Source organism: Homo sapiens, chromosome 1 (assembly GCF_000001405.40).
Source record: "Homo sapiens chromosome 1, GRCh38.p14 Primary Assembly".
Taxonomy (NCBI): domain Eukaryota; kingdom Metazoa; phylum Chordata; class Mammalia; order Primates; family Hominidae; genus Homo; species Homo sapiens.
This window is the reverse complement of record NC_000001.11, coordinates 43893497-43919031: the sequence shown is the minus strand read 5'-3', so window position 1 is coordinate 43919031 and position 25535 is coordinate 43893497. Positions and strand designations below refer to the sequence as shown.

General features: G+C 49.2%; 1 protein-coding gene across 65 annotated transcripts in view, besides 2 other annotated features; it reads right to left on the bottom strand.

Annotated features, from left to right (window-relative positions):
• ST3GAL3 (ST3 beta-galactoside alpha-2,3-sialyltransferase 3) overlaps window positions 1-25535 on the bottom strand; it is a 223624-nt gene that overhangs the window by 12128 nt on the left and 185961 nt on the right. For 39 of the 65 annotated variants that reach the window (NR_073018.3, NR_073017.3, XM_047428200.1 and 36 more), the window contains 4 exons: window positions 24555-24649; window positions 20734-20797; window positions 19769-19864; window positions 19305-19491 (listed from right to left, as the gene is read on the bottom strand). The exons of 1 other annotated variant lie outside the window; for it this stretch is intronic. Coding sequence is in view for 49 of the 64 variants with exons in the window: in XM_047428200.1 (XP_047284156.1) it covers window positions 19305-19491; window positions 19769-19864; window positions 20734-20797; window positions 24555-24649 (442 nt within the window). In the remaining 15 variants the exon portion in view is untranslated. Of the gene's footprint in view, window positions 1-2007; window positions 8331-17353; window positions 17511-18198; window positions 18284-19304; window positions 19524-19742; window positions 19865-20733; window positions 20798-24554; window positions 24650-25535 lie in introns of those variants that run through there. 25 more of the 65 variants (NR_146867.2, NR_073016.3, NR_073019.3 and 22 more) reach the window with 12 other exon arrangements.
• Window positions 4500-5315: an enhancer, noted in NCBI's record as "H3K27ac-H3K4me1 hESC enhancer chr1:44379389-44380204 (GRCh37/hg19 assembly coordinates)". NCBI's record gives its function as "activates a minimal SCP1, AML or CMV promoter by ChIP-STARR-seq in naive H9 embryonic stem cells {active_cell/tissue: H9 hESC(naive)}" and the evidence as "EXISTENCE:reporter gene assay evidence [ECO:0000049][PMID:30033119]".
• Window positions 18491-19349: an enhancer, noted in NCBI's record as "H3K27ac-H3K4me1 hESC enhancer chr1:44365355-44366213 (GRCh37/hg19 assembly coordinates)". NCBI's record gives its function as "activates a minimal SCP1, AML or CMV promoter by ChIP-STARR-seq in primed H9 embryonic stem cells {active_cell/tissue: H9 hESC(primed)}" and the evidence as "EXISTENCE:reporter gene assay evidence [ECO:0000049][PMID:30033119]".

Sequence of the window (25535 nt, the reverse complement as noted above, 5' to 3'; positions counted from 1 at the left end):
GAATCAACTAAACTTAGAATGGATAAAATAATTTACTGCAGCAATAGGAAACAGTCATCAGATATAACAAAAAGATCTTATTTGCAATCGTAACAAAAAAGTCAAGTATTGAGCAATAAACATAAGAAATATGTGAGAACTATAGGAGGAAAACTATAACCTTTTACTGATATAAAGAGATGACTTAAAAAATAGGAAAGACAAAATCATATTCCTGGATGGGAAGGCTCCAATGCCAGCTCCTCCCAGATTAATGTACAGGTTTAACATAATTCTAAGAAAAAAATCTCAGTAGGATGTTTTGAGATTTATCAAATGGATTCTAAAAACCCATCCAAAAGATTTATCAGGTAAACATAACACCCTCAAATTAAAAATTAGGTATTACAGTATATTATGGGTTTGCACTTATTACAACAATTATATATATATATATGATTCAAAACCAAGATCAGTGAAACAGGGTCACCTAGAAGCAGTTCAACACAGGTATAGGTTATGGGAACAAATGAGATTGGAAAATTTTCCATTTGGGAAGAAGATCCATTTACTTTCTCTCCTCACACCATATACAAAATAAGTAAATGTTTAAAAAACAAAAAAAGGGAAATCTAGGCTGGGCGTGGTGGCTCATGCCTGTAATCCTAGCCCTTTGGGAGGCTGAGGCAGGTGGATTGCTTGAGCCCAGGAGTTCAAGAACAGCTTGGGCAATGTGGAGAAACCCTGTCTCTATAGAAAATACAAAAATGAGCAGAGCATGGTGGCGTGTGCCTGTAGTCTCACGCCATCGGAGGCTGAGGTGGGAGGACTGCCGGAGCCCTGGAGGCGGCAGCTACAGTGGGTCATCATCACGCCACTGCACACTCCAGCCTGGGTGACAGAGTGAGACCCTCTCTTAAAAAAAAAAAAAAAGAGAAAGAAAAAAATTTAGATGTCTATTTTATCACTTAATTATCTATACATTAATGCAATGGAAGAAATAAAAAGACATGTTTTGACTGACACGTTTTGACTTCATAAACATTTTTAAGTGCTTTGGCACATCAAAAATATACGCAAAATAAGGCTGGGCGTGGTGGTTCACACCTGTAATCCCAGCACTTTGGGAGGCCGAGGGGCAGATCACTGGAGGTCAGGAGTTCAAGACCAGCCTGGCCAACATGGTGAAACCCCGTTTCTACCAAAAAATACAAAAATTAGCCAGGTGTGGTGGTATACACCTGTAGTCCCAGCTACTTGGGGAGGCTGAGGTGGGAGGATCGCTTGAACCTGGGGACAGAGGTCGCAGTGGGCCGAGATGGCACCACTGTACTCCAGCGTGAATGACAGAGTGAGACTCTGTTTAAAATATATATATATATAATATATATTATATATTATATTATATATTATATTATATATTATATATAATATAATATATAATATATAATATATATATTATATATAATACGTAATATATTATATAATATAATATATTATATATAATACATAATATATTATATAATATAATATATATTATATTATATAATATATTATATATATTATATATTATATATATTATATATTATATATATTATATATTATATATTATATATGCAAGATAGTATAGAGAGGGAAACAAAAAAGTGGTAAAAATTTTGTCACAAATAGTAAGAAATGCATATTTTAAAAACTCATGAAGAATCAGTGAGGCCTCATAAAAATGGGTAAAGCACATAAACAAAAGGTTAATAAGCATGGAAAAATTTAACTCACTAATGACAAGGAAATGCACATTAAACTAACAAGTTATTATTTTTTTAACCATTAAAATCTGTGTATGTGTATATTTGTGTATCTATATCTTGGTGCTAGTGGTAGTCTGCTGAGGGAAAATTCTCCTGGACTGCTATAGGAGTAAATTTGGCACAGCCCTTCTAAAAAACAATCTATGTGTCAAAGACCTCAAAGCTGTTTATATCTTATGACCTCAAAATTTTCCTTCTAAAAATAATCAAAATGAAGACCTTTGTAAAAAGCTCTTTATTACAGTATTACTTACAAAGTGAAAAAACAGAAAAAAATCCAAAAGTTTACAACAGAGGTTTCATTAAATGATACATTTATGTAAAAGAATGTCACAGTTATCAAAATGATATCTTCTAAGAATTTTGGGCCAGGTGCGGTGGCTGGCTCATGCCTGTAATCCTAGCACTTTGGCAGGCTGAGGTGAGAGGATTACTTGAGCCCAGGAATTCAATACCAGCCTGGGCAATATAGTGAGACAATGTCTTTACAAGAAATAGAATAATTAGCTGGGCATGAGGCTGTGGTCCCAGCCACTCGGGGGGCTGAGGTGGAAGAATCACTCGAGTTCAGGAATTCTAGGCTGCAGTGAGCCGTGATCGAGCCACTGCACTCTAGTCTGGGTGAAAGAGAAAGGTCCTGTCTCAAAAAAAAAGGAATTTTGTCTTATGGATGTACCATAATGTATGTAACCAACACTGTTGTTGGATATCTAAATTGTTTCTAGTTTTCCCAGACCTCTTCCTTCTCCTTGTTCCCTATCCTCTACTGTCCATCCAGTCTTCCAAACCAGCAACCTGGGAACTGACTTGAGATTCTCCTACACCTTTCCAGTCCATCTTACCTTGTGCTGCTGGTCATCAAGTTCGAGTCTATCTGCTTAGAACGGTACAGATCCATCCCTTGATCCCAAACCTACTGCCACCACTTCCAGGGCAGGTCTTATCATCTTTCATCTGGACTATTCTAATGACTGGCCATTTACAGTGTCTGTCTTTTTGACTGCTGAACACTCCAAAGCCCAGTAGAGTAACTGAAACATAAAACTGAAACATAAATGGTACACAATACATAATTGTACAATTCTATTCACTTATTCAGCGAGCATTAATGAGTGCCTACGATGGGCTGCCTGTATCTCCCAAACCACTCCAGGCTGGAGTCCAGTGGCATGATCTCAGCTCACTGCAACCTCCATCTCTTGGGTTCAAGCAATTCTCCTGCCTCAGCCTCCTGAGTAGCTGGGATTACAGGTGCCTGCCACCATGCCCAGCTAATTTTTTTATTTTTAGTAGAGATGGGGTTTCACCATGTTGGCCAGGCTGGTCTCCAACTCCTGACCTCAGAAGACCCGCCCACCTCGGCCTCCCAAAGTGCTGGGATTACAGGCGTGAGCCACTGCGCCCAGCCTCTCAAACCACTTTCTCTCTGCCAGAATGATTTTCCATGTACAAATCAGATCACCACTGCCTAAAGAAGAGCTGAGCCTTTTAGCCAGTAACCCATCTGTCTCTCATTTCAGTCTCAGTCCATCTGAAGTCCCCACTTGCTAATTCATGCCCCACACTTTTGCTGATGCTGCTCCTTGTCTCTAACATCCTTCCCACCTCTATCCACATGACCCATCCATTTTCTAAGACTCAGCAGCTGCCTCTCCTTCATGTCTTTCCTCGCCCCCTCCACCCCAAGGCAGAACTGACATCTGACCTTCAAGAGGTGGTAAAATATGGAGTTCAGATCCTTGGTCCTAGGATTTAACTTCAGATCTGCTCACTCACCATGTGCAGATCCTGGGCAAGGAATGTACCATTTCCTTATGGATAAACCAGGGACATCACGCGTATTTAGCTTACAAGCTATTGTAAGAATTAAATGAGCCAATCCAGGCTGAGTGCACACTAGCCCCATAGGGCAGGGACTCACATCTGATTCACCTCTGTAGCCCAGGGCGTGGCACAGCACAGACAGCAAAGAGGCATCAGTGACGGTTACTAAAGGAGACCTGACCTCCACCCAGGGCGCCCAGTGACCAGCAGCTCTTCAGCGTCTTCCGCTGCTGCTCCTTTGGTGGATTGTCTCTGTTCCAGCCACTCCCTCCTCATGGCTCCCAACTCTGTGGCAACATCTCTTTCTCTGGCAAACTGTCTGTCCTCCAAAGGTCAGTTCAAACATTGGAACCTTGTGGCAAACTTCTGTTTCAGCCCCAGTCAGGCTGAGCAAGCCGACCCCAGTTTTTCCTGCTCCTGTCTCCAGAAGTGGGGTGTGCGTAAGGGAGGTAAAGGGAGGGATGGTGGGAGACAGTAGGAAACGGACGGGTGGAGAAATGGCCAAGACCTTAGGCATAGCTGAGGGGAAGCCCCTCTTGGGTGGGCCAGATGTGGACTGACAGGAACAGCAGGTGCCAGCCTGTGCCAAGCACAGCACAGCACAGCCCCTGTCCCTTCTCCAGGCCCAGCAGGCCCCAACAGCTTCCCACCTGGGGTTCCTGCCTGTGCCTGCCCTGCACACACCAAAGAGGAGGGAGAAAGCACAGGGGCTGCTCGGGAGGAACAGGGAGAACCAGGATTGGGCACAGCTGGGGGCCTGTGTGAGGAGGCTCCAGGCTGGTTTCACGACTGTTACTTTATTATCTCTTTAACTTTCACCCACTTCACAGGTACAGATCCCAAGGTGAAACGATACGACACGATACGTTCAAGGTCAAGCAGCCTGCAAGTGGCTGCAAGTGGATTCAAACCCAGGTGTCCTGACTCCAAAACGGCATTCTTTCCACCACACCATTTGTATCATCGCTGCAGTTCCCGCCTCTGGAAGTCTGAGGGGTTAGGGGTCAAAGATAAAGGAGACCTCCCCTGTCTCCTCTAAGAGCACTAAGGGAGCTCTCAGGAGTCTCTCTGGTGCCCATGTCCCATTTTTCAGAGGGGACTAAGGCCCAGAATGGTGAGGGGACTCGTCAGGGTACACGCACAGCTGGTGAGAATCTGAGCTGCGTTTGACTTCACAACCTGTTTTTCTGCACATGAGATGCCCTCTCTGAAACAATCCCTCTTGGTCTGTTCCATATGCTAAAAGTCCCGGATTTAATCACCATCTCAAATGGCAGGAAATTCGCTTATTAACTCAACCCCCTTGGCGATCTGATGGGGAGGGGAAAGCTGCCACGTCTCTTCTCATCTTTACTCTTTCCTGGGAGGAGAAATGCCTGATGGGACTGCTTAGATTTGAGGATACTGAGTGTGTCACGATTACTGGTGTGAGGTGAAAATTCTCTCCCACAAAGGCAGCCCTTCCTGAGTTGCTGCCTCTGCATGGCGGTGGGTGAGCTGGGCAGGGCCTCCTCCTTGGAGCAGGCCACCTCTGCCTCTGCCCTTCGTGGCTCACTGCGCTGAGGTCTTACTGCCCTCGGTTCTTACTCGGCCAGCAGCGGCTGAGAGTCATGTTGGGACCCTGGGGAAGGAGCCCTGTTTTAGGTCACGATCCCAGGGAGCCCTGCACTGGAGAACTGGGAGCCCGACACAGCGACAGTCCAGCGCTCCTTTTATTCTTTCTTGTCTGCCACTGTCCTGGTGTAGTTTCCTCAGAGATTTCAGGGAAAGGAGAAACAGTAAGACCAAGATATGGTTTGGGCATTTCCGTGTTTCCCCAGCCACAAAAATATCAAGTACCAACAAAACCTCAGCCTGTTTCCTAAAAAAAAAAGCTGTAACTCCTCTTCTCAGAAAAACGTCCACAGGCACATACACAGAACATCTGTGTACCACTGCAGCTTTGGGAGTGTGAAAAACAGAGGCTTAATCCCAGCTCCACATCTCTGTGACCAGGGGCACATTGTGTCCTCTCTTTAAGCCTCAAGTTCCTTGTGCATACAATAGGGCTGAGAAGACCTACTTCCCAGATAGCTGTAAGGATTAGAGATGCTGTGCGTTTTACAGCATCTGGCACGGGGTCTGGTATACAGCAAGCTCAATAAATCTTACTTATTATGATTATAGTGAGTGTCACAGAGGCCAGGAGAGTGAAGCGGAGGGTGTGGTCAGCAACATCAGCCACCGGAGAGGCCGGAACACATTCACATATCCATACCTGCACACGTACATGCATTTGAATGGGAGAGCCAGCCTTTCCCCCTGGCTCCCGGTGGGGAGGTCTGCCTGCTGCTGGAGACACTGCCAGCCCTGCTGCCAGCACACAGTCCTATTCCACAAGGCCTCTGCCTGCAAGTGTCCACATCTGGCCCAAGGCTTCTCACATCTCATTTCCCCAATCCACAGGACACAACAGAGGCCTACAAAGCCAGCCAGTGCTGCTGGCCCGGCATGGTCCAGCTTCTCCTCAAGGCCAGCTGTGGGCTGCATTCCTTGTCAAATCCCTCCTCCTTCAGGAATGTCCCTGCCTCAGTCAAGTCTGGACCCAGCTCCCCTGTGTGAAGCTGCCAGACTCCTGCTGATGCAACCTGTTCTGCTCTTGTCAGAACATCCAGGAGCAATGGGGAAAACATCTGGGAAGAAAGCACTTTCCCCACCAGGCTCCTGAGAGAATGTTTCCTGGTGTGCTCACAGGTCTGGGAATAGAGATTAACCATGGTAGGCTTTCACAGCAAGAGTAGGCAGATGTGTCCACGCCTATGCTCCCTGCTGCTACTGCCTTAGGACGGACCACCAACTCTCCTGGGGTGACTCTAACAGCCATCAGCTCTCTCTGACTCCCTCTTGCTTTCCCTTCAGTTTATTCACATCCCTGCACAAATCTGATCTCGACATTCTCAGGCTTAAAATCTTCAGTGGCTTTCCACTGCCCACTGCAACAGCTTGTGTTGACAATTAAGAGTGCAGGTCTGATTGTGAACCCTCACACCCCCAACTACTCTAACTCTGTACCCCTAAGCAAGTTCTTTACTCTTCTAAGTCTCATCATCCTCTCCTATAAAATAAGGGCAGTAATACTAGCTCTCCTTTATAGTGTTTTTGTGTTATGACAGTTTGAAGTCATGCATATAATATGTTTGGCACAAAGTCAGCTCTTGTTAGCTTCTGCTATTATTGGTCCTCAGGATAAGGTCCAGGCTCCTTGATGAGACTTTGGCTTTTAAGACCCTTCACCATCTGTCCCCTGCTCACCTAGCCTCATCTCCAGCCACTGCCACCATATCCATGTAGGTTCAACCCCTAACATTGTTGGGCCAAGGACAAAATTACAAATGGACGTATTACACACATATCACGTGTCTAAAATTTAATTCTAAATATCTGAAAGTTATGAGGCAAGCTATCAAGCTGTTAAATATATTCTAGCACCGTGCGAGGCTGAGGTGGGCAGATCACTTGAACTGACGAGTTTGAGACCAGCCTGGGCAATATGGTGAAAACCCGTCTCTACGAAAAAATACAAAAATTAGCCAGTCATGGTGGGGTGCACCTGTAGCCCCCAGCTACTTGGGAGCCTGAGGTGGGAGGATGGCAGGGCCCCAGAAGGCAGAGGCTGCAGTGAGCCAAGATCGCACCACTGCACTCCAGCCTGGGTGACATAGCCAGACCTTGTCTAAAAAAAAAAAAAAATCCATATCTATATCTATATCTATAGATATCTATAGCTACAGATATATCTATAGATATAGATATCTATAGATATATCTGTAGATATCTATAGCTACAGATATATCTATAGATATCTATAGCTACAGATATGTCTATAGATATCTATAGCTACAGATATGTCTATAGATATCTATATCTATAGATGTATCTATATCTATATATATCCTTCCTTGAAAAATGTCCTAGAAGGACAGGTTTGAATTTGGAATCCTGACCCTGGAGATCTGTTGTGCTGGACCATGGTGGTCTGGCCCACCTCCCACCCCGGTCCCATCCCATACCATAAGAAGCCTTGTGCAAAACCCCATCTCTACAAAAAAAAAAAAAAAAGAAAAAGAAATATTAGTCAGGTGTGGTGGGTGTGCACCTATAGCCCCAGTTACTAGGGAGACTGAGGTGGGAGGATTACCAGAGCCCAGGGAGGTCAAGGCTGCAATGAGCTGAGATCGTGCCACTACACTCCAGCCTGGGCAACGGAGTAAGACCCTGTCTCAAAAAAAAAAAAAAGAAGTCTGTGCATGTGTGTAGACTCCTCCTCACTCCACACATCCAAGCTCTGCTCACAGCCTCTGCAAATACCCTCCTTGGGCTTAGGGTACGCACAGAGAGTTACATTCTGCCCTCAAGAAGATGGAAGTGGACTTGGACTTCTCACTTTTAGGGCAAGAAATTCTGAGGTCTCCATTACCTGATAGTGGTCTCTCAAGGCAGATGGACCTGGGGTGGGCACATCCCTCTTGGCTCTGCATATTCCTCTTCACTCCACGGCAAAGGTTGTGGCCAGAGGAGGACCACAGTGGGGCCCAGGGCAGATGCCTCTCTCAGGTCAAAGGGCAGTACCATGCCCATGCCACACCCCGGTTATACTGAATTATTTTTAATTCACTAAATACACCATGCTCTTTGCCAATGTTGTTCTCTATGCCCAAAACATGCAGGTTCATCTGTATCCTGAAGGCCAAGAAACAAGGTGGCAGGACCCTCCTGATCAGGTGGCATCTGTACCCTTAGGCCCAGGCCCTGTTGCTCTCGCCAACACTCTCACTCCTTATCCTGTGGTCTGGGTTTCTGCCCAGTGGGCAGGCAATATTTCTTGTGCCCATTCTCACTTCTCAGAAGGTGACTGTCATTGCAGATGAGCACAGTGTGTCACTGTTGTCCTGTGCATTGTCCTACTAGTTCTTATAGCAGAATAACAGGTAGCTATGCAGGGAAGCTTTCATGATTTCCATTTTATAGATGAGGAAAATGAAACTCAAAGATGTGAATTGTGGCAGAAGATGAGATTTGTCTTCAGTTCCTAACACTGAGGCCAGTGCTTTACCTGCCAATCCTGCCTGCACTGAAGGTTTGGGGATAGCAGCTGTGCTGGCTGGTCCAGGTGCCCACACCCTCGGCAGGACTGCTGTGCTACTGCTTTATACTCCATCATGTAGTGAGACCATAACTCACATAAAAAAACCCCTTAGGTAATATTTGGGTTTGGCTATTACAAACAACACTACAAAATATAAAGTAACACTACAATAAAAATCTTTGTGCACAGACTTTTCCTTCCTCTGGGTGATGGCTCTCGGTACCAAGTTCCATTTCCTTTCCAAAAAACTGGTCCCTATTTGTTTACTCCGACCAGTAGCCTTTGATACAACTGTCACTGCACTCTTGGCAGCATCATGTAGGATAATTTAACACATTATTTGAAAACATGGTAGGTGATAAATGGCACCCTGTTTCCTTCACATTAATTTCTCTGACTGCTAGGAAGGTTAAACCTATTTCTGTTGTTTACTAGTTATCTTTCTTTCTGTGTGATCTGTTCAGTTTCCTGTCCATTATCTGCTGGGATTCTAATGGCTTTCTTGTTAACTCTCATAATAACCCTTTGCCTGCCATATGTTCTAAATATGTTTTTCAAGGTTGTGCGGCAGTCTTTTTGTGTTAACTTGAAATTCTAATATGTTATCAAATTTGATTTCTTCTAGCACTTGTGTCTTGAAAGTTCTTTCCCTCCAGGGATTTGATTTCTATCCTTACTTTAAAATTCCCTTTGGTTGTATTTTTATATTTCGCTTTTTAGTCCGTTTGGGATTTATTTTGATGTGTGCTATGAGGAGAGGGTCAGAAAACTTTTTGAAAGCTATATTTGGAAAAAAGCGATGAACAAAAAGAAGAGCCGGCTTGGGGCGGTCCGTGTGATGCCAACAGGCAACTGAAAGGCAGAGCGCCAGGGACTGTTCAGTTCTCATTTCTTTATCAAGGAGAATGATCTTGGAACTGCATAAAGAAGATCAAACATGGCTAAGAGGAAAGAGATGCCCTGGAGAGGCAAGAAGAGAGCAAAAGGATGCAAGGGTCTGAACCTAAAAGAAAGACCTTCCAGGGCAATGAAAGGAGGTAGCCTAGTTGAGAGGAAAGAGCCTGACTGAGAGGCAGGAGTTTGGAGTTAGAATCCTGACTCTCCTCGAAGGTACTGTTGCACTCTGGGCCTCAGTTTCCACATCTGCTTATTTACTTATGTATACCAACTATGCCTCACTGCTGGAGGTGATGGGCTTACAGAGATCAACAAGACAGCTGCTGCCCTCCTGAGGCTTATAAGAAGAGGAGCATCTCATACATCCATGGGTAGGGAAACAGGTAGAACATAGAGGCGTGAAATAGGATCCATAGGTCCATATAGCCAGAGTGGAGAGTACATGGCGGGTGCTAAAGAGTGGCAAGGGCCGGGCGCAGTGGCTCACACCTGTAATTCCAGCACTTTGGGAGGCTGAGGCAGGCAGATCACCTGAGGTCAGGAGTTTGAGAGCAGCCTGGCCAACATGGCGAAACCCCATCTCTACTAAAAATATAAAAATTAGCCAGGCGTGGTGGCAGGCACCTGTAATCTCAGCTACTTGGGAGGCGGAGGCAGGAGAATCACTTGAACCTGGAGGGGGTGGCGGAGGTTTCAGCGAGCTGAGATTGTGCCACTGCACTCCTGTCTGGGTGACAGAGCAAACTCCATTTCAAAAAAAAAAAAAAAAGAGTGGCAAGGAGAAGGGAAGGCTTGGAAGGGGCCAGATCATGGAGTTCTGTGCTGTGGAATTGAAGTTTTATCCTGCAGGCCATTGGTTCTTGAGCTTGAGCCTGCGCAAATCATCCAGAGGGCTTATTAAAAGAGAACGCTGGGCCCAACCAGAGTTTCTCATTCAGAAGCTCTAAGGTGAGGCCCCCACTGAAAAATGTACATCTGATAAGTTGCCAGGTGATACTGGTGCTGCTGGTATGAGAAGGAACTTTGAGAACCACTGCATCTAGGAAATGGGGATCCAAAGCAGGGGAATGAAGCACCTGGTCACTTTAGGAGGATTCTTTAGAATACAGACATAGAGAAGGGATTGGAGAGAGACCTGACTGGAGGCAGGGAAACAGACAGAAAGCTGCTGAAATAATCCAAGCCAGACAGATTTAGAAGGGAGAATGAAAGATCTGGAGACTGAAGAGTCGAATATGGAAGGCAAAGGCAATGGTGGAATCAGGATGCTTCCCGGGTTTTTGGCCATGAGTTTTAAGAATCAGGGGCTATCCCTAGAACCCAGCGCTGTGCCCACTACACAGTAAATGCTCACTGGATGCTTGCTGACAAGCTGCTCCTTTAAAGGGAGGGCAGAGGTTGAGTCTGCTGGATTTAGAATCAGAAGGTCACTGCCAGGTGAGAGTGGCTTTGGAAGCCAGGATGGAGAGGCTGAGAAACAGACGGCAAACAGGGAGACACTGGGACAGGCGATGACTTTTCCCAGAAACTTGAAAGAGAAAAGAAGAGAGGTGAACATAAGCTAAAGAGAGGGCTTTTATTTTTAAGGTGAAAGAGATCCAAATACATTCATAGATGTGAGAGGAGGACCCGGCAAAGAGGTGAGAAAGGAGACAAAGGAATGAAGACAGTCCTGAGAAGGTGAAGGGAGATGGCATCCAGGACAGGAGAGAACTGACCATGAATGGCAGAGGCACAGGAGGGATGGTAGAGGAGGAAGCAGGGATGAATGGGGATGCAGGTAAGTTTGTAGATGGGAAGCAGGAAGCCGAGAGTTCTTGGCTGGTGACAACCTTTATTTTCCCTGTGCAGCTGGACATGCAATTTCTTTGGAATAGGATGGAGGTACAGTGGAATTGAAGATGATGAGGGTAGAGATCTGAGATGATCAAGGACCCCGGACAGGACACAGGAATGGGAAGCAGCACTGAGATGCTACTAAGGTGACACCATGTGTTACCACCTTGGCTGTAGCTTCTCTCCCATGGGTGACATTCAGTCCCTGGTACTGGACTGGCTGGATCTGAAGGAAAGCACTGGGAAAGGGAGCTGTCGAGTGAGTGAGACTGTGCTTGAAGAACGGGACTGCACATGATGTTGGTGATTGCTTTGGATTTGCTGAATCAATGAATAAATGGGAGGTGTTATAGTGCAATGGTTAAAGTGAAACACCTTCGGTCCAAAATGCGGCTCTACTGCTTACTGCTACTCATAGTATCTGCCTTGTAGGGTTGTGGAGATGGCTGGCTGAGATGATGCATATAAACCACATCGTCCAGGGCCTGGCATGGAGAAGAGTTAACAGTAGTTCTTACCATCCTCACAGACCATGGCAGATAGGAGCTGACTGATGGAGGATTCTAACCAGGAAGGTAGGTGGTCAGATTTATTTCTTAGGAAGATCCCTGAGGCAGTGAGATCTGAGTTTTAATTAGGCTCTACCACTTAACTAGTTGTGTGACCTTACACAAGTAACATATCCTCTCTGTACCCTAGTTTCTTAATCTCTAGGATGGGGATAATAACAGTACCTAGCTATAGGGTCATTATGAGAACTGAATGAATTCAAGGAAAGCTGATAAACTGAAGAGCTTAATAAGTGACAGCTATAATGATAATGATAGTGATGACAGAAGGAAGAGGAGAACAAAAGGAAGGAAAAGCAGCAAGGAGAGGAACAGGAGGAGGAAGAGTGGCGGGAAGAGGAGCAGGAGGAGGAGGGGGAAGAGTGGCAGGAAGAAGAGCAGGAGGAGGAGGAAGAGTGGCAGGAAGAGGAACAGGAGGAGGAGGAAGAGTGGCGGGAAGAGGAACAGGAGGAAGAGTGGCAGGAAGAGGAGCAGGAGGAGGAGGGGGAAGAGTGGCGGGAAGGGGAGCAGGAGGAGGAGAGGGGAGAGTGGTGGGAGAGGAGCAGGAGGAGGAGGGGGAAGAGTGGTGGGAAGAGGAACAGGAGGAGGTGGAAGAAAAGTGGCGGGAAAGGAAACAGGAGGATGGGGAGGAAGAGTGGCGGGAAGAGGAACAGGAGGAGGAGAAAGAAGAGTGGTAGGAAGAGAAACAGGAGGAGGGGGAGGAAAAGTGGCAGGAAGAGGAGGAGGAGGAGTCAGGGGAAGAGTGGCAGGAAGAGGAGCAGGAGGAGGGGGAGGAAGAGTGGCAGGAAGGGGAACAGGAGGAGGGGGAGGAAGAGTGGCAGGAAGGGGAACAGGAGGAGGGGGAGGAACAGTGGTGGGAAGAGGAGCAGGAAGAGGGGGAGGAAAAGTGGCAGGAAGAGGAGCAGGAGGAGGGGGAGGAAAAGTGGCAGGAAGAGGAGCAGGAGGGGGAGGGGGAGGAAGAGTGGCGGGAAGAGGAACAGAAGGAGGAGGGGGAAGAGTGGCGGGAAGGGGAGCAGGAGGAGGAGAGGGGAGAGTGGTGGGAGAGGAGCAGGAGGAGGAGGGGGAAGAGTGGTGGGAAGAGGAACAGGAGGAGGTGAAGAAAAGTGGCGGGAAAGGAAACAGGAGGATGGGGAGGAAGAGGAACAGGAGGAGGAGAAAGAAGAGTGGTAGGAAGAGAAACAGGAAGAGGGGAAGGAAAAGTGGCAGGGGAAGAGTGGCAGGAAGAGGAGCAGGAGGAGGGGGAGGAAGAGTGGCAGGAAGGGGAACAGGAGGAGGGGGAGGAAGAGTGGTGGGAAGGGGGGCAGAAGGAGGGGGAGAAACAGTGGCGGGAAGAGAAGCAGGAGGAGGGGGAGAAACAGTGGCGGGAAGAGAAGCAGGAGGAGGGGGAGAAACAGTGGCGGGAAGAGAAGCAGGAGGAGGGGGAGAAACAGTGGCAGGAATAGGAGCAGAAGGAGGGGGAGGAAAAGTGACAGGAAGGGGAACAGGAGGACGGAGAGGAAGAGTGGTGGGAAGGGGAACAGGAGGAGGGGGAGGAACAGTGGTGGGAAGAGGAGCAGGACGAGGGGGAGGAAAAGTGGCAGGAAGAGGAGCAGAAGGGGGAGGGGGAGGAAGAGTGGTGGGAAGAGGAACAGAAGGAGGAGGGGGAAGAGTGGTGGGAAGGGGAACAGGAGGAGGGGGAGGAAAAGTGGCAGGAAGAGGAGCAGAAGGAGGCAGGAGAGGAAGAGTGGCAGGAAGAGGAACAGGAGGAGGAGGGGGAGGAAGAGTGGCGGGAAGAGGAACAGGAGGAGGGGGAGGAAGAGTGGCAGGAAGAGAAACAGGAGGAGGGGGAGGAGAAGAGTGGTGGGAAGAGGAGCAGGAGGAGGAGGAGGAAGAGTGGCAGGAAGAGGATGAAGGGTAGGAAGAGTGGTGGGAAGAGGAGCAGGGGGAGGAGGAGGAAGAGTGGTGGGAAGAGGAGCAGGGGGAGGAGGAGGAAGAGTGGTGGGAAGAGGAGCAGGAGGAGGGGGAAGAGTGGTGGGAAGAGGAGCAGGAAGGGGAGGAAGAGTGGCAGAAAGGAGGAAGGGGAGGAAGAGTGGCGGGAAGAGGAGCAGGAGGAGGGGGAGGAAGAGTGGCGGGAAGAGGAGCAGGAGGAGGAGGAGGAAGAGTGGCAGGAATAGGAGCAGGAGGAGGGGAAAGAGTGGCAGGAAGAGGAACAGGAGGAGGGGGAGGAAGAGTGGCAGGAAGAGGAGCAGGAGGAGGGGAGAGTGGTGGGAAGAGGAGCAGGAGGGGGAGGGTGAGGAAGAGTGACAGGGAGCGGGAGGAAGAGTGACGGGAAGGGGAGCAGGAGGAGGAGAATGACATGGTAATAATTATGAGGCAGTGACCAAGAGCTTACAGAAGACAGTGAGGAAGAGGAGCTGAGGGAGTCCCCATTCTTGAGCATTTTTATCTGGGGGTAGAGGAGCAATGGTTAAGATATGGCAACAGGCAGTGACGTGAAATCTCCTGGCCCTCCCAGGGATAAGAGGCATGGGAGAAAGAGCTGCGGCCACTGGTGATGGCCGCAAAGGAAATGGTGGAGAATCCTCGAAGAGCTGGTCTCAGAGGCTTGGTGAGAAGCCTGGGCTGGGTGGTGAATGCTGGCTCGGGAGCAGGAGGCCTGCACTGAGTCTCCCAGGACAGAGTCCACGCTAAGGCTCTGCATCCCTCTCAGGCTTGAACAGGGAACAGGTGAAGGTGCAGGTGGACATCATTCAATCCCCATTTGGGCCTGGTCCAATAAGAGGCCTTACATTTGGGGATGTGGTGGCCCCATCTGCCCTACGGTCCAGCCCTGCTGCCTTTCACCAGGAGGCTCCTTGTCTCTCCCTCCTCTAGGCCTGGCCTCTGAGCCCTGCTTCTGGGTCACCTCCTAGGTCAAGTCCTACAGCCTGACAGAAAAATGCTTTGCTCCCTGGGATAATTGGGTTTTTCTAACAGCAAAATCACCACCAGTGATAAAAAAATAAAATAACATAACATTACTATTTGCTATAGACTGAGAACATAGTTAAGTTCTCTATGCTAGATGCTTCTAGATTTCATCTTATCTAATTTTAAAAAAACCCTGAAAGATGCACAGCACTACTCATCCACTGTATCAATGACACTAAATCTAAGGAGGTTAGGTGATGTGCCTAAGGTAGCCCACTAATAAGTGAGAGTCTAAACTTAAACCCAAATCTGTGTAACTCCAAGGCCTAAGCCATTTTCCCCTCTTAAGCCATGTTGTCACTCTAAGATCAGGGACTCAGTCTCCCTTTGCTTGAATGTGGGGCCTTGGCTGGCCTCTTAGATCCTGCCCTCCTCCCTCTCCTCCCAGGGACTGAAGTACAGCTGGAGGGTAAGTGCTGTGTCAAGGCTGTCCAGGGACCCACTCCCAGCCCTGTCCTCTCTCTTCCCCCTGCAGGGCTGGGACCACCCCACACCCACCCAGCCTAGGCCCCAGGGCCCCACTGAATTGATGACCAGTCAGAGGTGCTCAGCAGCGAGGCTGGCTTTCTGGTTTTAGGAGTGGGGAGGAGGAGGAGGAAGAGGAGGCAGCAAACGGGGTTGGAAGGCAGTTCCCAGGGGCTTCTGTGGCCTGCTGAGGCGCAGTGGGGGAGGCTGGCAGAGGCAAGAGGGCAGGGCCTGAGGGATGGGGATGGGAGGCTCTGCCTCTCACATGTCCTGTCCTCTCCAGACCCCAGGGCTCCGTCCTCTGGACAGTGGATGGGGTGTCTCCAGCCTTCATCCAATACCAGGAAGAGGATGCACAGGCCACAGCATTGGAGGCATTAGGCAGCACACTCTGACACACCACCCTCATGCTTGATCCACACAGCACACCTCCAGTTTCCTGAAGGGAGCGTGGTCTCTTGGGTCTACACATGCTGTTCCCTTTGCTTGTAATTCCTTTCACCCACTCACTCCTAACTCTTCCTTCAGGGTCCAGCTCAGGAGTGACTCCTCCAAGAGGCCTTCTTTTGTCCCCCACCTGCCCCAGAGCTGCATTAGGCCTTCCTCATCATAGCAGCCTCCACACTGTACTGTAACTCTAGCTCTGGGACTCTCTCTCCCACTAGACTGTGAGCTACTTTGGTTGGGAATAGTGCTTAATTCCTCTTTGTATTCCCAGGGGCCAGTGTAGAGCCTGCAAAGAGAATACCTCATGGACAGCTGATAAGTGAGTGAGTGTGTTGGGGAAGACTGCAGAGGCACCTCTGAGAAGACCTGCACCGGAGCTGGAGGCTGCACCCCCATGTCCCTGGCTCCACCCTTCCTCCAAGCCTCAGCTTCCGTGCTGTGCTTGCCCATCCGCTGGTGCTCTTCTGAGCTGCCCTGAGCACACAGCCTGCTGGGAACTCCTACACCTGCTTGCTGGCTTGGCCACGGCTCCTGGGATCTGGGAGACAAAGCCTTTTTGTAACCTGTTTGGAGATATCAGTGCCACTGTCCAGTGAGTCAGGGACCCAAATGGCCACAAATGATGAAGAGGAGAGTTCTCAGATGGAAGAAGGTAAGGCCAGCTCTGGCACAGGCTGTTCTCTGGGTTGTTTGGCTGTCCTTTCCTACATCTTCCCCCCTGCCCCTTCCCATATCCTATGAGGACTCCTGGGTACTAGAAAGTTACAGGCTTTAAAAGACTCCTCATGTAGTAAGTGGCAGGAAGCAGCTGTGACTGAGGCCTAATTCCTGTTCCAGCCCTGCCCTGCCAGGCCTTGGCTCCAGAACACAGAGCTGCCTCCTGCCAGAATTCTGCAGGTGAGGCTCCAGACAGGTGCAGAGAGCTCTCCAGAAGCCCAGAGGCTGTATGACTGGAAACATCCCTACAGGAGCAGGACAAGCTGGTGACTAGGGCACCAGACAGGAGGGGACCTGGAGAAGCAGCCTCTCACATTTTCCTGGGTCTCAGATGCCAGGGAAGTGAGGCAGAGCATGGGTGAGGTCCTGGGAAGGCATTAGCCTTGGGCTTGGGGTGGAGAAGGACACTAAAGAAGAGGTCCCTTGGGCAGCCAAAGGGCCTGGGCAGGTCCACTCTGAGAGATGGGAGAGGTGAGGCCACGGGCAACCCCGGCATTCCTCTGGCAGCTCACTCTAAAGGTCCAAATTATCTTTCACTTTGGAGCCAAGGAAGGCCCACAGTAATTCAGAGGACTCCTCCCTGTCTCCTGTCTTCCCTTCCCACTCACCCCCACCCACCCTGGGTAGGAGTTCTCACCAATACAAGGCTAGTCCTAGAGCCCTGGGTGTGGCCAGGACGGACACAGATGTCATCAAGAGTGAGCCTGTGCCTGTGCCTCGTCCTGCAATGCTGGTACCTTGAATCTGCCTGCTGCCAAGGCCAGGCCAGGCGGAGAGCTCCTCAGCTTCCTGGGAAAAGCAAGGCCCTGCTGTCTGCTTCCTGAGTAGCCTGAGTATAGTGAGTTCTCCGACTCTAGCTGGCTTCCTTCCTTTTCTTCTTTCTTTCCTTACTCCCTTGGATGAATTTTAAGAACCTTGAATTAACTGACATTGGTGTTCTTGGAAGGAACATGTGATAACACCCATGACAGGCTCTGACCCACCCCTTTGGCCTGGCCTTATTTGAACTGCCTGGCTTTTCCCAGTCTGTCCAGTGGGAAGTAGGAACTGGTGTTTGAGCCAATTCCAGATCATTTATGGTGACTGAGCACTGAAGGGTAAAAACCAATGGGATCAAGCTCTGCCCCTTAGGAGCTCTTGCCCTGAGGGAGGCTGTGACAGGTGCCCATGGGCAGAGGAAACGATGTGAAAGGAGGATGGCAGAAGGCCAGAGTGAGACAGCAGCCCTTAGGCTCACTGGGGTTCACCAGGACAGACTCTATTTCCTACCATTCTCCCTTAAAAGTGTCTATCTGTGACCCTAATTCTACTGCCCTCAAGGCAAAGAGAGGGACTCTGAAAACACTAGTGTCTCAGTCCCCAGGGTTCTGAAAACAGTAGGGTACTCCTGGAACCGCTGTTATTTACCTGGTCTGTGTGGGCAGTGGGCCTGCTTGAAGTTGGGCCTGGCTAAGGCCAAATCATCACTCTGCTGCCTGGCCCTTTCCTCCCCTTTGGGGAGGTGGACTGGACACTGTGGAGCCCAGGTGTCTCATCCAGTCTGGTTCTGAAATGGATTCCCCTTCCCCACTGTCCCACCTACCTGAATTTCTGGACCTGACTTCTGTCTTCTCTCTTGCTTGCTACCTACTTGACACTGCCTGTACTTGGCCTTGCTTGGGAAAGAGCTGTGGAGTTAAACCAAATTGCACTGAGACCCTAAAGGCAAAGGAAGCTGTTCCCACTCCCAACTCTTCTCTAAACCTCTGGAAAGAACAATCAGCTTCTCACTGTAGGCAGAGGGCCGTCTGTCACCATCCTCCTCTAGCAAGAGGCTTGGGTATTAGAAGATGAATGGCCTGAGCTCTGCAGTACCCCACCCCTGGGGCTGCTGGTGACAGCTGGTTGTGGGGGAGTGGGCCTGGACAAGTTCACGGATGTCCCTGTAGGCCCAGAGCTGGGAAGTAGAGGTCTCGGGAGGGAACTCAGTGGTGGTCTCCTAAAGAGCAGTTGACCTTACTCTGCCACATAAGCTCCCTAAAGAAATGGGCCCAGACCCTTACCTGCTTAGAACAGTCAGTAGAACCTGATCATTCCCAATGATCAGACTCAGTGGCAGGTTGGGAATTCAACTATAAGTCAGTGGTAAAAGTACAAAGTGGAAACAGGCCAGGACTTCTAAGTTTGGGAGCTGGCACTCTCAAGTTGAGGGGTCTGCTGTCCCTGCAGAACCCAGGCTGAGAAAGAGGGCAGGGACCCCTAAGACCAGAGCCAGAGAGACCTTACAGAGGAGAAGAGGGTGCAAGGGAGGCAGCTACAAGGTCAGGGCAGGAAAGTAGAAAGATTGGGAGTGATACGAAGGCTGGCCTGAGAGACAGAGCTTCCCTTGGCCAGGAGATCTAAGGCCAGGGAAGGGCCCCTGGGGCTGCTGGGGTCTGGCTACAGAAGGCTGAGAAAGGATCTGCACCTGGGCACCTGGAAGCAGGTAGCAGGTTTCAGGCATATTGGCTCCTGGAGTTTGGCCAGTAACCCGGGCAATCTCCTGACCTCTTTGCCCCCTGGTTGCCATTGGGTGATTTCGGCTTTGGGTCATTAATGTTTCCTTTGAAGGTTCTTACTCGTTCTTTGCTGCATTCAAGGGGCGGGATTGCTTAGGAGTTGCGGAAGCCCAGGGCAAGAGGGGAAGAAGCTGGTGCCAGGAGAGCTTACCACTCTCTCCTTGTAGACGATGTATTTCAACCACTTAAAGTCCTGCCACTTGAAGCCGGCGAGGACAAAGAGAGAATCGCGCTCGTACTGCTCAGGCCGCTGCATGGCGCCCTCGGGGTAGGTGATGCGCAGTGTCGTTTTGCTGCCCACGTCCTTCTCAAAGCCTTTCACTGGTGCTGAATTCAGTCTACAGAGAGCAGGCCCACTCAGAGCCTGGGCCTGTGTTTGGGAAGGCACCATGACCCCAGACTATCCCAGGCATGGAGAATAGGGAGTCCAGGTCACCTGGACCTATTCTCCCCAGGTGCCCCCGCTAGTTGTCTGTTCCAAAGCCCTCCAACCCAGAGTTCTTGAGGCTTCCGTTGACCTCCAGCCCAACTAGCCAGACAGACAGTTCTCAATGGGCTCAGGACTAAGGGTTGGGGCCACGACACTCACCCGAGGTGCCATTTTGGGGAGCTCACCTCACCACAATGTCATAGTCGTCAATTCGTGACCCCAGAGACTTGTTGGCAAGAACGCCTCCATTGCCCACGATGATGCAGCGGCGGCAGCGGAGGCTGAGGGGAGAGAGGCGGAGACCTCTGTACAGAGAGCTGCCCACCAGGTCTCTTTCCCTGCTCCTTTGGCCCTTGACCCCACGCCCTTGTCCAGGACCAGGCTGGGATAGAGGAAGAAGACCAATGGGCTTCTGGCAGCATTTCTGAGAGAAGGCCTGAACCATACAATGGGTAGCTGGGCCCTGAGACTCTCCAGCATCTCTATCTAGGCCCTGACACTTCCCCAGGAAAACAGGGCCATGGAAAGGCTTGGGTGCCAGGCGTGGGTGGTGAGGAGGGAGCTTTGGTAAGATGACATTCTAGGGTAAAGGTTCCCCAAGGGGTAGTGGTGTTTAGGCAGGCTTCAGGGGAGAGGGAAAAGTGGGCCGAGCTTGGGGCTATACCAGGAAAGCAAGAAAAGGGGAACGGGACAGGAGGCTCTAGGACTCAAGGCTCCCAGCAGCCACTAGAGAGCTTACCCATCTTGCTTCTCCCATCCCTGACCCTGGGGCTTCCTGCTCTAGGGTCTGTTGGTTTGGGAGCTGTCACTGCCTTCTGGACTTAAGCCTTGCCCCCTTCACCTGCCCCCGCCACCCAGGCCCTCAGTCCCATTGCTGGGCTAGTCCCAGCCCCAGTGTGTTCAGTTCTTACCCTCAAACCTCTGGTATCTGAGGACTGGGATGTCCTGCCAAGTGCTGACAGCCCGTGGGGGTGCAAGTCAGGTGGAGTGGTTCCACTTACCTGCTCCACCCACCCTGTGTGTGTACTGTATGTGCATGTGTGGATGTGCTGGAGAAACTGCCCATGTCCAGGGAAGGCCAGCTGGGCCTCAACACCTCTGCACACCACCAGGCAGCGGTGGGTAGGAGGCTGCACAGTGTGTGGCTCACCTGTCCAAGGCAGGGGTCAGGCGGTACTCTTTGGTGACTGACAAGATGGCTTTGATCAGATTGTCTGCAGACAGAGGAGAGAGGTTTCTGTTACAGGGTCACTTACCTTTCTATAAAATGTTTACTGATAATCCTACTGGAAGACACAAGTCCCTAGGGGCTAGAGTGAAAGTGGAAGTGGAGAGAGCTCTGGACACAAGGATGTATTGGGCCACTGCCCTGACTTTCTTCCTGAGAAAGGAGGTGATGGCAGGAAACAGACAGGCATATCACTGCCGGGAGCCCGTCCCTAACACTGGCACGCAGCTTCTCTCCCAGGCTTCTGGGAGGCTCATCTGGTTTTCTGAGGCTCTGTAGTCAGGCCCCAGGACATGCATTCCCAGGCCAGGGCCTTCCCTGGAAGCTGGCGCACGCAGTCTCCCTGGAATGGGAGTACCTGCTCAGAGCTAGAGACCACCTTGTACTTATCTCTGTGCTCCCACCCAGCAGATACCAGGAAACAAATGAGGAGACACCCAGCAACTGAAGAGCTCACCACGTGCCTCATTATCTGACATCACCTTTCCCTCACTTCCTCCCTCTCACATTGCCAATCCTGAATCCTGCTCTTTGCCAGGCTGTCTTTACCTCCTCACCTCTTTACTCCCTGAGCCTGGCTCTGCCCACCTGCACTCCATTCAGCAAAGACCCCCATGACTTCTGTGCTCTCAGACCTGTGCCCACTATTTAGACCTCATCTCCTTGGCCTCTCTCTGGCTTTGGCAATAAGGACTGCTCTTCCAAACTCTGGTATCATGAGAGCACTATAATATGATGTATAGTGAATAGCAAGGGTATTGGCTTTGGAGTCAAATACTGGCTGTGCTCTGTGACCTTATATAAATCATTTCCTTTCTTTGAGCTTTAGTTTCCTCATCTCTAAAATGAAAGTAATTCCTATTTTGTGGAGTTGTTAGGAAGATATAAAATAACGTACACAAAGACCTAAAAATAAAGTAAACTGGTATCACCACAATGGAGAGCATCTTAATAACATCAAATAACCACGAAGATGTGCAGACACTAAGATCCTACAACTATGCTCCTAGGCGTGGAGCGTTGAAAAAGTCACACACTTGCTCCAGGAGACATGCAAGAGTGTTTGCTGATGAACTGTTTGTAATAGCAAAATGGTGGAGGCAAGCTGAATGTCCACCAAAAAAAAAAAAAACCAGATTAAATGTGGTGTATGAAATCCTATACAGCCATTAAAAAAAAAAAATCAATGACCTACAGCTGTATGTACCAATATAGATAAATCTCAAAAACACATTAAAAAAATATGAAGAATATACATACACATATACACAAATACATGTACATATAATGACACCATTTGTAAAGTCTAAAGACATGTAAGAGCGGTACTATATTTTTAATAAATATATAAATATGTAGTGAAAATACATAAACAAGCCCGGGTGTGGTGGCTCACACCTGTAATCCCAGCACTTTGGGAGGCCAAGGAGGGAGGATTGCTTGAGCTCAGGAGTTTGAGACCAGCTTGGGCAACATGGTTAAACCCTGTTTCTACAAAAAAATACAAAAATTAGTCAGGAGTGCTAGTGTGTGCTTGTAGTCCCAGCTACTTGGGGAGCTGAGGTGAGAGGATTGCTTGAGCGCTGGAGTTGAGGTTGCAGTGAGTCGTGTGTGTGCCACTGCACTGCAGCCTGGGTGACAAAGCAAGACCCTGTCTCAAACATATATAAACAAGGCATAAGAATGCCAACACTGAAGCCAGGATAATGCAGAATAGTGGCTTCCTGGGGAAGGAAGAGAATGGAGTGGGAAGGGACCCGCAGAAGCTTTAATTGTGTCTCATGTTTTATTTCTTCAGCTGGGTAGAAGGTACATCAATGCTTATTATTCCTAGTATTTTTTGTATGCTTGAAATATTTTATGTAAAGAAAAGATGTCTCCAAAATTAAAAATAACAAACTTATACTTTTTTAAAGGAGGCAGAGGTAGCCGAGAGGTCATGTTAAGGACTGAGAAGTATCCCTTGGATTTCTCCGGGACACTGAGCAGTTTCACTGGAATGGTGGGGTGGGATGGGCAGGGATGCAGATATTCTTCAGGAGTAAATGGTGAGAAAGAGGAGGCAGCAGGTGCAGTTAATCCTTCCAGAAGTTGAGTGAGAATGGGGTAGGGAAACAAACCTTTAAGCAATGTTCTACACTAAGTGCCTTCAGATATACCTTACGGTGGGCTTTAGGAAAGGCAACAGATTCCCTCCTTTTCCCACTTCCAATTTCACCTTTAAGGAAGAGCATATTGCTACTAAAATTAGCCAAGGTCAAGGATATGGATTGGGCTTTGTTTTCTAGGAGGAAAATCTCAGCAGAAAGAGCACACATTAGCAGATGCTCTCTGCTTGCTGGCTGATGGGCTCCATATCGAACTTCCCTGGCCTTTGTAGCTATCCCATCTGAGTCTCGAGTGCAGATTCAAGAGAGAAGAGTGGACTTCTTGGCTGCCTGCACCCAGGGAAAAGGGGTTCTTCATATGGTTTAACCCAACCATTAGATTTGTCCTTGGAGGTCTGAGGTCAAAGCGCCAGTTCAACAGTGTTTTTCCTTGCCACTGGCTTCTTTTCAGGGAGAGATAGTCTGGCTGAGTAGAGGGTTCAGGTATTCTTGAGTCTCCTGGCCAAATGATATCACCCCTTTAGCAGTTATTTTATGTAATTCTGACAACAACTTTACACAGTAGTAGTATTCTCTCCATTTAACTGCTGACGGAACTAAAGGACAGACAGGCAACTTGTCCAGGGTCACAGCTAGTAAAGAGGCAGTATGGGGATCTGATCCCTCTGTGCCTGACCCATAAGTCCAGATTATTTTCCACCATGCCATGAAATAGCACAGAACTTGACAAAGAAGCAGAATTGTTCAACTACTAGGGATGGGAAAGTCTTAAGTTAGCATGGAGCTGTGTGGGTGAGGTCCCCAAGGCAATGGAAGGGGAGTTTGTGAGAGTGTAGGGGAAAGGTTAGCCTTGGACAGGATAAGGAAGGGTTGGAAGGGAGATGAGGTTCAGGTGAAAAATATCAGGATGGGCTGATAGAGGGACGTGGGGCACTCCTGGGGGACAGTCTCTGTTTTCTCTGGGAATGTCCCTACTATACCTAGTACTCTAGTGTTCCTGTCTACAGCACACCTTTTCTGTGTTCTCACAGCTCCTTGTACTGCCCTCACCAGAACTCTGCACTCTTGAATATCTGAATCTCCGCTATACTGGAGCTTTTTGAGGAGAGGAAACAATCTGTCTACTTCACTGTTGTATACTTAACCCCTGGCAAAGTGGTGGGCTCTGTGTAAATATTCCATTAAAGAAGAAGCCGGGCATGGTGGCTCATGCCTGTAACCCCAGCACTTTAGGCAGATCACTTGAGTCCAGGAGTTTGAGATCAACCTGGGCAACATGGTAAAACCCTGTCTCTACTAAAAATACGAAGAAAAAATAAGCCAGGCATGGTGGTGCGTGCCTATGGTCCCAGCTACTCAGGAGGCTGAGGTAGGAGGATCTTAAAGGTGGAGATTGTGTGAGCCGAGATCATGCCACTGCACTTTAGCCTGGGTGACAGAGCAAGGATCTATCTCAAAAAAAAAAAACAAACAAACAAACAAAAAAAGGAAGGGAAAAAGGTAGAGAAGATTTGTTGAGAGTAGAGGAAGGGTGGATTCTCAGCATGGGGACTTCTGAGGATGTAGCCTTGTCTGAAGGACAGGGAGACAGTCGGGGGGATGAGATGTTAATGTAGGTCAGGGTTCCCAACATACCTTGACCTTTGATCCCAAAAGGCGGCACGAACTCCCGGATTCTAGCCCACTTGCGAAAGGAGTCATCCAGGAACATGGGTGCTGGCTTGGAGAACCTGGAATATAACAGGACTGCTGAGGATCACAAAAACGCAACAGTCTGGATTACTGGTGGCACTTCCGTACGTCGGTCTTGGCAAAGGATCTGCTGGAAGCCCCCTCTGCATTCCGGCATACCCCCCTCCACCCAGCCTGTTCACTGGGTAGCTGTCGAGGGGTTTGACAGATCTTGTTCAGTGGAGCCTGAGTCTGAGGGAGTAGGCCTGGTCAGTCTTTATTTGGCTAGCTGTAGGAGTGGAGAGACAAGATTTGTTCAGCAAGGATCAATTTCTCAGAGCTGGAAGCTCTCTGGAAGGTTGTGCAGGCATTCATCAAATAGTCACTGCTGCCCACACTGTTCCTGCAATCTGGGAACACAGAGATGAGACACTGTCCAGTTGAGCAGAAATATATCCAAAAATACAGCCAGTACATGGAGACAGATTTTGGAGAGAATTCTGGGAAGTGGACCACCCACAGTGAGGAAGAAGGAGAATTCATGGTGAGAGGGCAAAGCAGGTTAAAAGCTACAGGAGACAGAAGTTTGGTAGGAAAGAGAAAGAAAAAGCAGAGTCCTAGGAGGCAGGGCCGAGGGGAGAGGTTTCAGACCAGTAGGAATTTGAGTGCATTTGCTGGTGGAGAGAAGGAAAGAGAGGAGGCTAAGTTCTTGTGGAAGTGAGGAGGGACCCAGAGCTTCAGGGGAAGGGTTGATCTGGGCCTGGAGAGGAGATGGGGGCAAAGGCGAGAGAAGGAGGGTGAAGTGATGCTGAGCTGGGGTGAAAGAACAGGCAAGTCTTACTCTTCTTGGAATGGGCAGGGAGGGGACAGGCTTGGGGAGGAGGAGACGAAGTCTGAAGGGAAGGGAAGTGAGGAAGAGGGAGAAGGTGCAGCAGGAATTGAGCT